This window comes from Homo sapiens, chromosome 6, assembly GCF_000001405.40.
Source record: "Homo sapiens chromosome 6, GRCh38.p14 Primary Assembly".
Taxonomy (NCBI): domain Eukaryota; kingdom Metazoa; phylum Chordata; class Mammalia; order Primates; family Hominidae; genus Homo; species Homo sapiens.
In genome coordinates, this window is record NC_000006.12 from 37,749,619 (window position 1) to 37,762,418 (window position 12,800).

At 49.1% G+C, this 12,800-nt stretch overlaps 1 annotated feature.

Moving 5' to 3' along the window:
• Positions 363-1,184: an enhancer, noted in NCBI's record as "H3K4me1 hESC enhancer chr6:37717757-37718578 (GRCh37/hg19 assembly coordinates)". NCBI's record gives its function as "activates a minimal SCP1, AML or CMV promoter by ChIP-STARR-seq in naive and primed H9 embryonic stem cells {active_cell/tissue: H9 hESC(naive and primed)}" and the evidence as "EXISTENCE:reporter gene assay evidence [ECO:0000049][PMID:30033119]".

The window sequence follows — 12,800 nt, forward strand, 5'->3', positions numbered from 1 at the left end:
CCTGCCACCTTGTGAAGAAGACGTCTTGCTTCCCCTTTGCCTTCCACTATGATTTTAAGTTTCCTGAGGCCTCCCCAGCCATGCTGAACTGTGAGTCAATTAAATCTCTTTCCTTTGTCAACTACCCAGTCTTGGGCAGTTTTTTATAGCAGCGTGAAAACAGATTAATATACTCCCTGAGTCCAGCACAGTGCCTGGCCCACAACTAGGGCTCTTACTGAATAATTTACTGAGTGAATGAACCAGTGAGTGAATTAAGTGTTTTTGTCAATTAAGAGACCGTGGGTGAGGAACCTTTTCTTCCTACAGAGAAAGAAATATGCAAAGAAGAGCCGCATGAACAAAGAACAACTTAACTTAGCTTTGTTTTGTTTTAAACCAGGAATATAAAGCATCTTATTGATCTGCCTTTTAAATTAAGAACAGGAAACTGAAAGCCATTCAATAAATAAAACATAATAAAAACACTTCTGTTCCAGAGTATTGCTAATTAAGGGAGACAGAACAAAGGGGGAATGGGGAGGGGAAATGAGAGACAAAGAAGACAGGGACAGAGTCAGAGATAGCGAGACAGAGACTGAGGGACTGAGCAAGACTGCTGGGGGCGGTGGGTCATAGAAATGCAGTAAGAAACTTGAAGGGGAGGGAGAGCATTAGGACAAATACCTAATGCATGCAGGGCTTAAAACCTAGATGAGGGGCTGGGCACGGTGGCTCGCGCCTGTAATCCTAGCACTTTGGAAGACCGAGGTGGGTGGATCGCCTGAGGTCAGGATTTCGAGACCAGCCTGGCCAACATGATGAAACCCTGTCTCGACTAAAGATACAAAAATTAGCCAGGCGTGGTGGCGGGTGCCTGTAATCCCAGCTACTCAGGAGGCTGGGGCAGGAGAATCGCTTGAACCCGGGAGGCGGAGGTCTCAGTGAGCCGAGATCAGGCCACTGCACTCCAGCCTGAAGAACAGAGCGAGACTCTGTCTCAAAACAAACAAACACAAAAACAAAAAAAAAAACCCTAGATGACAGGTTGATGGGTATAGCAAACCACCATGGCACATGTATACCTATGTAATAAACCTGTAAGTTCTGCACATGTATCCCAGAACTTAAAAACAAACAAACAAAAAAAACTTGAAGCTGGAGGGCACTGTGCAGCTGGGCACCAGAGGCTGGGCAGCAGGAGGGGTGCAGCAGCAGAGGAAAGAGAATTTCTGCAGACATTTAGGAGCCAGGAGTAGAGGTCTGTTGTTAAGAAGGTGCCCACTGCAAATCTAGAAGGAAAGACGTGGAGAAACTTTTGAGCCTTTGGAAGCAATATTCTTTTTTTTTTTTTTTTTTTTTTTTTGAGACGGAGTCTCGCTCTGTCGCCCAGGCTGGAGTGCAGTGGCGCAATCTCAGCTCACTGCAAGCTCCGCTTCCCGGGTTCACGCCATTCTCCTGCCTCAGCCTCCCGAGTAGCTGGGACTACAGGCGCCCGCCACCGCGCCCGGCTAATTTTTTGTATTTTTAGTAGAGACGGGGTTTCACCTTGTTAGCCAGGATGGTCTTGATCTCCTGACCTCATGATCCACCCGCCTCGGCCTCCCAAAGTGCTGGGATTACAGGCGTGAGCCACCGCGCCCGGCCGGAAGCAATATTCTTAAGACTGGTCAGGACCAGCAGAGACAGAAGCTTCCTTGAGATTAGAGGTGAGGACAAACTGGAACACAAAAGGTGAGTCACAGGGGGGCCAGTCACCTACATCAGCCATTCAAATACCTAATGTGAATTGAGCATTTCCTACCTGTGAGGCCCTGTGGGCTAAGCGCTTTAGGGGCATAAGCACATTTAAACATTTTAACAACTCTGTGGGGCAGATACTATCATCAGCCCTAATTCACAGATGATAAAACTGAGGCTCAGAAATGTTAATTCACTTGCCCAACACATCATGCCCAGCATCTGACCCTTTGTCATCTGACTCCACAGTCTGTGCCTTAATGCATCCCCACTGTCACTGTGGAGGGGGAAAGGCCGCACCGGGAAAAGGAATAGCAGTTCTGGGGGGTTCATAAAACCCTAGCCTCTGAGAAACCGTAACATTTGACACTTCTAGTTTGAGGGTACTGGGGGAGTGTGGGCTGGGAATCTAGAAAGATGGGGGTGATATCTTCTGTGACTGCCATCACGCTGTCCTTCCAGGCCAACCCATCTATGGGACCTGCCTGGCCCGAAGTCACTGAGACCCCCAAAGCCTCGGGCTTGCCTCTTCTGAGATCAGGATCTCCTCTGCTCTCCCCACCCCCTTCAGGTCCTGCTCTGGGTCCTTCCACATCTCCTTTCCTCTCCTTCTCCATCTTCTATCCAGCCCATAATTGGGTGGTCTAGTGCCAAGAGATCAGACCCCAGGGCAGAGGTCCAGGGGCTTGGGACACTGCTGTTTCCTTGGAAAAGAAGTCGGGGAGGAGAGGACTGTCTACAGCCAGTGTCCCCAATGAACCTCACGTATTACAGCCTAAAAGAATACTTTTGAATTGGGGAGGGGAATAAAAGAGGAAGTCGATAACTTGGAAAGGATTTTGTGATTGATTGTCTCATTCCCCAGTCCCAAACTAACATCAGCTAAACACTTGCACAACCCCTCACCAGTATCTAAGCCCGTCCTATATGAGCTCCAACCCGGGGCCTTCGTCCAGCCTCCGTTCCAGTGCTCATTCTTGGCCAAGGCCAAGCCAAGCTTCCGCAATCTCCTGGGACCTCAGTGACTTTCCCAGTGGATTTTAATTACCTGACAAAAGTAATGCCAATATTTATAAGGGAACAAACACAGATACCATAAATAAATACATTACTGACTCATTGAATTAATTAGTGTTTAATTACTTGAAATTACTGTCAGTTACTACCAATTACCTGAACAACAAATGCATTCTTTCTCTATTACCAATGGCAGTTTTCGGAGTGAAACCCAGAGACCTTGGGCTGTAGGAAGAGACCTCAGGCCATATTAGCTCTCACCTGGCCCCTCCCCACTACTGCCTCCCTCTTTTGGTCACTCATTCACTCCTCGAGCACACATTTATTGAGCATTTATGATATACCAGTCATTGTTCTAGGCACTGGGGATGCATTCATAAACAAAACAGACAAAATCCCCAGCTTTGTGGAGCTTACAATCCAGTGAGTAAGGAAAAAAATTATGGATATTTTAAGAAGATGTTAAGTGGTATACAGAAAAACAAGCAGGAGCTGGGCATGTTGGCTCATGCCTGTAATCCCAGCTACTCCGGAGGCTGAGGTGGGAGGATCGCTTGAGCCCAAGAATTAGAGACCAGCCTGGGCAACATAGCAAGATCCCATCTCAAAAAAAGAGAGAAATAAGGAAGAGGGATGGAGTACTGGGGGTTTAAATAATGTGGTCACTATTCAGGTGATGACCTGGACATCCTTCCTTTGCCCCCTCCAGACCCACTCTCTACTCTTCTTCACCCAGGTCTGTGCCCTGGGAGGCTGGCCTGCATGGACGGCATCACCCAGCTCCCTGCCCTCTGGCTTCCATGGAATTCAGCCAGTGGGGAGTCCCCGAGAAGCCCGGAAGCAGAGGGTGGATGCTTCCCTTGACCAAGGATCTCAGCCTCTATCAGGTCACCCTTTCCAGGCAGCCCTTTTTATTTTGGGATTCTCTAATAGCTGCCTCCCACAACCTCCCCATCCTGTCTGGCCTTGCAACAGCTGCACCCACCCTTCTTGAACCCCCTCCCCAGTCAATTGCCTGGGGGTCCTGCACTATCCCTGTGGGTTCCAAACCCCCTGCCCACACCTGTGTAGACTCTCCTCACAGGATCTGAATCTATGTGGCCTGCTTTCTGCTGTGACCTGGCAGATAGAGATGGCTTCCTTGGTGAGGTGACTCTGGAGCAGAGGTCTGAAGAAGGGGAGGCACAAACACGTGGCTATCTGTGAGGAAAGCGTCCCAACCACAGGAACAGCAAGTGCCAAAGCCAGAGGCCAGACTGTGCTTGGCATCTTTGTGGCTGGAGCACAGCGTGAGGGAAGAGCCATGGAGGCAAAGCCAGCGAGCAGGCAGGGGCACGTGGGGGGCCTGGCCAGAGACCAGGCAGGGGCGCGTGGGGGGCCTGGCCAGGGAGCGGGCAGGGGCGCGTGGGGGGCCTGGCCAAGGAGCGGGCAGGGGCGCGTGGGGGGCCTGGCCAGGGAGCGGGCAGGGGCGTGTGGGGGGCCTGGCCAAGGAGCGGGCAGGGGCGCGTGGGGGGCCTGGCCAGGGAGCGGGCAGGGGCGCGTGGGGGGCCTGGCCAAGGAGCGGGCAGAGGCACGTGGGGGGCCTGGCCAGGGAGCGGGCAGGGGGGCACGCGGGCCTGGCCAGGGAGCGGGCAGGGGGGCACGCGGGCCTGGCCAGAGAGCGGGCAGGGGGGCACGGGGGCCTGGCCAGAGAGCAGGCAGGGGCGTGTGGGGGGGCCTGGCCAGGGAGCGGGGGGTGGCCTGGGAGGCATTGCAAGGACCCAGGCTTTCCTCTGAGAGAAAGAAACCCCTTGTGGCATTTCAAATGGCAAAGTGACTTGGTCAACACACACTGAAAAGGGTCACTCTGGTGGCTCTGTTGAAAACGGACTGTCATGGGAGAGACATCTGGGAACTGCAGTCATCTGGCAGTGGATTAGACCAGCGGGTGGGAGTCGTGGAGCTGGTGAGATACATAGGTTGAGGTGGAACCAAAGGATTCGCTAGTGCATTAGAGTGAAAGAAAGGAGCTGTGGCCCCAGAGCAGTGACTCACGCCTGTAATCTCAGCACTTTGGGAGACTGAGATGTGCAGATCACCTGAGGTCAGGAGTTCGAGACCAACCTGGCCAACATGGCGAAACCCCATCTCTACTAAAAATACAAAAATAAGCCGGGTGTGGTAGCACGTGCCTGTAATCCCAGCTACTAGGGAGGCTGAGGCAGGAGAATCGCTTGAACCTAGGAGGCGGAGGTTGCAATGAGCTGAGATGACACCACTGCACTCCAGCCTGAGTGACAGAGCGAGACTCTTATCTCAAAAAAATAAATAAATAAAAAGAAAAAGCAAAAAAGAAAGGAGCTGTGGATGACAACCAAGGGTTTTGGCCTGAGCCACTGGAAGGCTTTACTGAGATGGGGAAGACTATGGGAGAGGCAGTTTTCACAGAAGATCCAGAGTTCAAGTCCGAACATGTCAACCAGAGGCACAGCGGAGAATGTGGCGGTGCATCCCAGGCGTTGGGAGGTCAGCCCACTACCTGGCCCCGAATGCACGCAGCTCCCAAGTCTCCCCAGCTGGGCAAAGACACTCTGACTTCTCCTCCCATCCTCTCCTGCCCCCTTCCCTGTTGGAAGTTCTCCCTCCACTCTAACTGAAATTCCCTCTCTCCTTGGACCAGCCCCTTCTGCTCCCCATTGAATGGCCAAGTGCCCAGATACAGCTGCATTTAGGAACAGGGAAGGAGAAGAAAATAAGGAACCCAGAAGATTCCTGCCTGGGTAGAGTGGAAGGCAGTGGGGTTGTTTTCCTCTCCTGGCAACTTAAGAAGCTTGTACCAAAAAATAAATGTGGAGTGAGAGTAACCCCAATCTCACTTGGGTCAGAGTAATCAAAATGTAATTGGGTTTGTGAATAACTAATGTTTACCCTGATGTTGTCCTAATAGGATGATGAGACCTGTAGATGTGACTCTGCCATCTCTGCTCCGTGAGAAACATGGGTTTTCACAGAAACTGGGTCAGGCAGCAGGAGATGGGGAGAGAAGTCACTGTGCTGAGCTAGATGACCGGGACAGCGGGAGGCTCAGGAGAGTCTCTGGGCAGAGGCAAGGAGGCCGCCATTTGGGGAACTGAGTGTCTAGGAGAGAAGTTTTGCCCTGGAATAATGATAACTATGATCATCATTGTATGTGCCACTTATTAAACACCCACTATGTACCATATACTTAACATGTATCCCTACGGTAACCTAGTGAGGTGACTCTCACTATCGCCATCTTACAGATAAGACCACTGAGGCACTGGCTCCGGGCTTCTCATCCAGTTGGCGGCACAGAGGAGTCCAAGGTCAGGTTGTCTAGAGTCCAGCTCTTCTCACGACCCTAGTCCGCCTCCACAGAACCAGGGACGCCGGACAAGGAGGACACTGCCTTCAGGACCCTTCTGCGGAGGTCCCTCATGGTGCAGAAGTTGGGAGTAGAGGCAGAAACAGCTGTGAAAATTCTGATTTGTTTGTTTCTCTGAGCCAAGCTAAAGTGGATAATGAAGCCAAGCTGGCGATTACCTTCCTGTGCGTGATAATGGTGGTAGTGGTGATGCTGACTGCAGCAGGATGACGGTGATGTCAGCAGCGACACCATTGGTCTTATTGATGGTGGCAGTGCCCAGGGTGGTGTGGGGGTAATAGCATGAGTGGGTGCTGGGATGCTGTTAGTGATCCTGCTAGGGCCAGGTTAGCTTGGAGGGGAGAGTGATGTCCATCACTGCAGTGGTGGCAATGCTGCTAGAGACCTCCTGAGTAGTTGGACTCGGGCTGGCATTGCTGCTGGGACCTTCCCTCACCCCCATCAGGAAGACCCCTCTGCTCCTCCCCACCCTCAGTGAAGGGGGCAGGGCTCAGAGCCTTCCGTAGAACTGGCTTTATTGCATTCCCTGTTCTGGACAGTGTAAGCGATGGCCCTGCCTCTCGAGAGGGACAAATGTGATAAATAACCAGGGAGGACAAGCGGGAGGAGGCAGTCCTGCCACCAGAAGTCATAAGTCTCTGTCCAGCCATGTGACAGGCTCATTACGGAAAGCTTCGGGGCCATCCCGGGCTGCAGGGCCTGGGGCTCGGGAGAGCCCTCCAATGCGTGGCTACTGATGAATCTGCAGCTCAGGGCTCGTGGAATCACCAGCCTCAATCTCTCCACCCTTCCCGCACACCAGACCAGTCATGCCCAACTCACCCTGCAGCTGCGGCCACTCTTTCACCTCCCTCCCTCCATCCTGGGAAATCCAGGAAGGCATTTGACAAAGCCTTTCCTGGTGTTCTTGGAAATAGGATGGACAAATATGAGCTGGATAGCAGTCCAGTTAGATGCACTGGACTCCAACAGACCCACAGAGGCCTGGGTTCACATCCCAGCTCCAGCACTTACAGGACATGTGATGTTGGCAGTTGCCTTAACCTCTCCTCGTCTGCAAAGCGATGACAGCACAAACTCTGCTTCGTTCAGTTGAAAATGTGAGATGATATAAGTAAGCTCCTGATCAATAATTAACATTCATGTGCCTTCTATGAGCCTGGTATGGGTCAATACATAAATTACTTTTTATCTCTATATAAATTATCTCATTTAATTCACACAGATCCTGCGTGGCTAGATACCATCCTATCCTAAGGAAACAAGCACAAAGATGCTATTTGCCTGATGACACACAGCTAATAAGTGACAGAACTTGCATTTGAACCGAGGTAATCTGACATCAGAGTCTCTATCACTAGATTGTCTACCTGGTATATCCTAAAAACATAACAATGCGTATTTATTGAGCAGCTACTAGATTAAGCCAGACTTGTGCGGTCCTCCCAACTGCAAGCTATATATGACATTTGCATAAAATATTACATTTTTATAAGCTTTCTAATTTAACCTCAGAAAACCTTGTAAAATGGGTATTATTATCTATTATCCAGAATCCCCTAACAGATGCTTAAAAAGGCGAAGTGATTTATCCAAGATCACACATCCAGAAGTGGTGAGGCCAGGGCCCGAGCTCAGCATTTCTGACAACTAACCTCAAAGTCTTTCATGACCCTATGATGCCCTCCCCTGCCATCTCACCCCACCAACTTATTGGGTTTGCCCTGTTACCCTCAACATGTTGTTCCTGGATTCTTTCATCTTGCACACAGCCTCATCACTCTTCAAGAAAAACATGGCATCCTGATTATGAACAATGACAACTGGAATGACCAGCTCCTCCGTGATTCAGCGTCTCACTAAAGGGATTCTCACTCTCCAGCTGCCTCCTGCCATCAAATATACTCATTTGCAAAAATAATTGGCTGAGGTTAAGAGTAGAGTCAGTGCACATCCAGAATGTAAAAAAGAAACTCCTACAAATCAATAAGAAAAAGGCAGACAACCCAATAGAAAAATGAGCAAAAGATTTAAACAGACACTTCACAAAAGAGGCCATCCAAATGGCCAGTAAGCACGTGGAAAGGGCCCCACATCATTAGTCATCAGGAAAATACAAATCCAATGAGATATCACTTCATGCTATAGAAGGGATAACATTTAAAAGACTAACAATACCAAATGTTGGTGGGAGTATATTGCTGGTGGGAGTATAAAATGGTGCAACTACTTTCCAAAACTCTGGCAAAGCTGCAAAATGGATACATCGTGACCCGGAGATTCCACTCCTAGGTATAGACTCAACATAGGACCTACATGCACCACATTATAAATAACAAAATGTCCATAGCAGCACGACTCATAATAGCCCTAAACTGGAAGAAACACTCATCACCAGTAGAATGGATAAATTGTGCATATTCATATAATAGAATATTATGCATCTATGAGAGTAAGCATCTATGATAGCATACAATGAATTTCACATATCATGTTGAACAAAAAAAGGCAGATACAAAAGAATACATTCTGTGTGATTCCATTTATGCAAAGTTCAAAAATGGGAGAAGCTAGTCTATGGTGTTGGAAGTCACATGAGGGTTACTCCTGGCAAGGGGAGGTGACAGAAAGGAGAAATGAAGGCACTTTCAAGGGGCAGGGTGGTATTGTTCCATTTCTTGATCTGGGTGATGAATACATGGTGTGTCACTTTGTGAAAAGTCATCAAGCTGTATGGTTATGATGTGGGGACTTTTCCAAATACATCCTTCAGCAAGAAGTTGAGAAAAAAAAGTTTGGTGTTGGTGGCTGGAAAACAGAATCCACTCTTCTTCTCTTGACAGGGTTGCCAGACTGACAAAAAGGAAACCATGTCAGAAGTGATGTGTCTTGTCTTCACTGAGAAATGTGACAAGGCCCCTTGTGATGTCCTTGAGAACAAACAGACAAACATGCCTGGGTGACTGTGTAATTAGGTGGATTGAACCACTGTCCCCAAAGGGTACTGATTAAGGAATCTGTGTCCACCTGGAGGGAAACTTCTAGTGCCTCCAGGCTCTGTCCTCGGCTTGGGCAGTCGAACACTGTTATCAGGGACTGCAATGAAGACATAACAGGCAGGCTTATCACCTTCGCGGATGACACAGAGCCAGGAGGGAGAGAGAGGACAGGGCATGCAGAAACAAGATCCAAAATGATTTTGGCAGAATGGTCAAATGGAGCAAATTGAATAAGATGAAATTGAGTTGAAGATCTGTGGAAGGCTCTGGGATTGGAGCTAAAAGCTAACTTCGTGGGAACAGGATGGCGGCACAGGGAGTCATGAAGTTACAGCTGCCGCTATGCAAGTGGAAGGTATAAGCTCCCCAAGGGCAGGGACTCTCCTGTTTGTCTCTGCATCCCGGGGCCTACCTCGGGGCCTGGCGCAAATGAAACACTCTGAAATTGTTGCCAGGTTAATCCATGAATGAAGGATGAGCAGTGCCTAATTGTGACACCTTGGTCCCAAGGCCATTTGAGGGAATCAATGGTTGCATGGAGTTGAATATCCTGCTCTGGCAGATGCAATCAGGAAGCTGTCACTCAGTTCCGGGCCCTTCTAAAGGAATGTAGACAAACTACCACCAGGTCAGACAAGAAGCAGGGAGCTGTTTCTGAGGAATCATAGAAGGCACTGGTCATGTTTACCCAACAAAAGAGAAGCCTGGGGATAGAGGCAGGGGTGAGGAGGATCAGCGTCAAAAACCTGCAGGGCAGCCCCGTCCTTCACGGTCTCACAGTCCATGGACAGAACTGGATTCGCCACGTAGCTGATGCAGCTTCTGCTTCAGGGCCGCTCACTTACATAGGCCCCTTCCAAGGTCCTTGGAAGGGCTTTAGCAAACATGTGCACGTGGTCATATGGCTTTGTATAATTTGCAAATGTAGAAACTTCAACCATGATCAGTTAAGATCCCTGTCTCTTTTCCACTTTTTCTCTTCATCACACTTTCCCTTGTGTTGGGTGGTACTGGAGTGGCCATGGACATTTATGGGATCCAGCTCAGGGGAATTTGAGTAAGAGATCCATTTAGGTTGGGTTTAGTGGATATGTTTATTTGATTTGCAGTCACTTCCATGTTAGCTAAGGAATACTCCTGACACCCACTGTGCTGACTGACTCATTGGGCAACAGGACACAGAGTCAGAAGTCAGATCTCCGTGTGACTGTGCCCTGCCTGGCACCAGAAGTATGTGCCCAGCAAAGAAGAAATAGTTTCAAATGTGCGGGGCTGGAAAACCAGAGCAAATCAAAAAAAACCCTGCAGGTTGGTCGTGTGTGAGGTGTTACTCATACTCCATGGTGCTAAGGTTCAGAACAGGGACCAAGGGCAGAGTTTTGGGCTTCATACGAGAAGACTTTCTTTTTTTGTTTGTTTTGTTTTTGTTTTGAGATGGAGTTTTGCTCTGTTGCCAGACTGCAGTGCAGTGGTGCGATCTCAGCTCACTGCAACCTCCGCCTCCCGGGTTCAACTGATCCTCCTGCCGCAGCCTCCCGAAAAGCTGCATACAAGGAGACTTTCTAATAGAGCTATGCAAAGAAGGGCAGACATTCTTCATGTTTGTCTGTGTCTTCTAAGTATCCAGCATTATCTTGCATTACTTTTCAGCATGGATGGAGTGAGCTCCTGTCACTAAAAGGGGTTTCCACATAGGATGAAACACCCACCAGGGGTATAGGAGAGCAGGCTTGCCTTCGCTGACTTCAAGAGTCTAAAGTTCTAACCAGTTCATTCAGGAGGTGAATCCCCAGTTGGTGCTATTAAAGGGCAGCCATCTATCATCTAGTGCCTTGACTTCATGGAGCATCCCAAAGCAAGATTTTTAAGGACTTAAAAAAATTGTTTTAATTGTGATAAAATACATATAACATAGAATTTACCATCTTAACCATTTTATTTTTTATTTTTTGAGACAGGATCTGGCTCTGTCACCCAGGTTGGAGTACAGTGGTGTGATCTCAGCTCACTGCAACCTCTGGCTCCTGAGCCACGCCTAGCTTATTTTTGTATTTTTTGTAGAGACAGGGTTTTGCCCTGTTGCCTAGGCTGGTCTTGAACTCCTGGACTCAAGCAATCCACTTGCCTCAGCCTCCCAAAGTGCTGGGATTACATGCGTGAGGCACCATGCCTGTCCCATCTTAACCATTTTTATGAGTACAACTCAGTAGATTTAAGTATATGCATATTGCCGAGCAACCACTTTCCAGAACTTTTTCATTTTGTAAAACAGAAACTCTGTACCCGTTAAAAAAACAACTGATCCTGCCTCTCTCCCTGCTGATCCTGGCAACCACCATTCTGCTTTCTGTTTCTATGAGTTTGACCACTGTTGATGCCTCAATAAGTGAAATCATACAGTATTTGTCTTTTTGTGACTGTTTAGGGTTTGGTTTCTGCATTTTAAAAAACGAAGTATAATTTACATACAATAAAATACGTAAATCCTAAGTGTAAAGCTCAGTGACTTTTTAACCTATGCATACGTGTGTGTTACCACAACCCAGATCAAGATATGGTCCTTCCAGTTCCCCAGGAGGCTCCTGTGTCCCTCGTCCCACCACTACCCTCACCTGAAGCTTACCCACATTACTGACTTCTGCCAAAGTTATTTCTAGCAGAACACACTAGCCGAGCTTAGATTCAAAAGTCCTGATTTCTCTGCAGCCTCAACCTCTGGGGCTAAAGTGATCCTCCCACCTCAGCCTCAGGAATAGCTAGAACTACAGACACGCACCACCACGCCCGGCTAATTTTTGTATTTTTTGATAGAGATAAGGTCTCACTGTGTTTCCCAGGCTCGTCTCAAACTCCTGGCCTCAAACAATCCTCCCGCCTTGGCCTCCTAAAATGTTGGGAATCCAGGCATGAGCCACTATGCCCGGCCTCTTCCCTTGTTAACAGTGCCGCTTTAGGCAAGTTAGTCTGAGCCACGGTTTCCTCTGCTGTGAAATGCGGATGCTAATGTCTACAACACAGGAGCTGGGAGGGATCCAAGACATAGCTTATAAGAAAGAGCCCAGAAGAGACTCAGAACACATTGGTCGAAATATGAATGTCCTCCCCTCATAGTGGCACCACGGTGCGGTGGGGTGTTGAGGGAAGGACACTGTACCGTGGGTGTAATGAGAGGGGTCCTAGGCTATAGATGACTTCAAGAATGAAGGTCCATGGCAGGAGCTGTTGGGAGTGTCCCACTATGTGGAAAACCTGGCCAAACCAGCTGAGCTACCAGCCACAGACCTGGGTCCACAAACCCATAAATAGCCTCATGTGCAATCTGCTGATCAGCCACACCAGCTCTAAGTCCCACAAGTACCGAGACTATGACCCTTGTACCCTGTGGTTCAGTGTTCTCCAAAGTTAGCAAGTGCCAGAAGCACCAGGAGGAGCTGCTAAAGCAGAGCTTGCAGGGCCCCACACCCAGAGTGTCTGATTCAGGATTTCTGAGATAGGACTTGAAATTTTTCATTTTCCACAGGATGCAGATACTGCTGGTCCAGAGGCCACACTTGGAGAACCACTGGTGTAGTGCAACCTGCTGATAGCATGCCTGGAGCCCCTGCACCCACGCGGGTGCACCCATCCCTCAGCTACTGTGGATATTGGCTGCTAATGGCTCCCAGCTGCCCCTCTGCTGG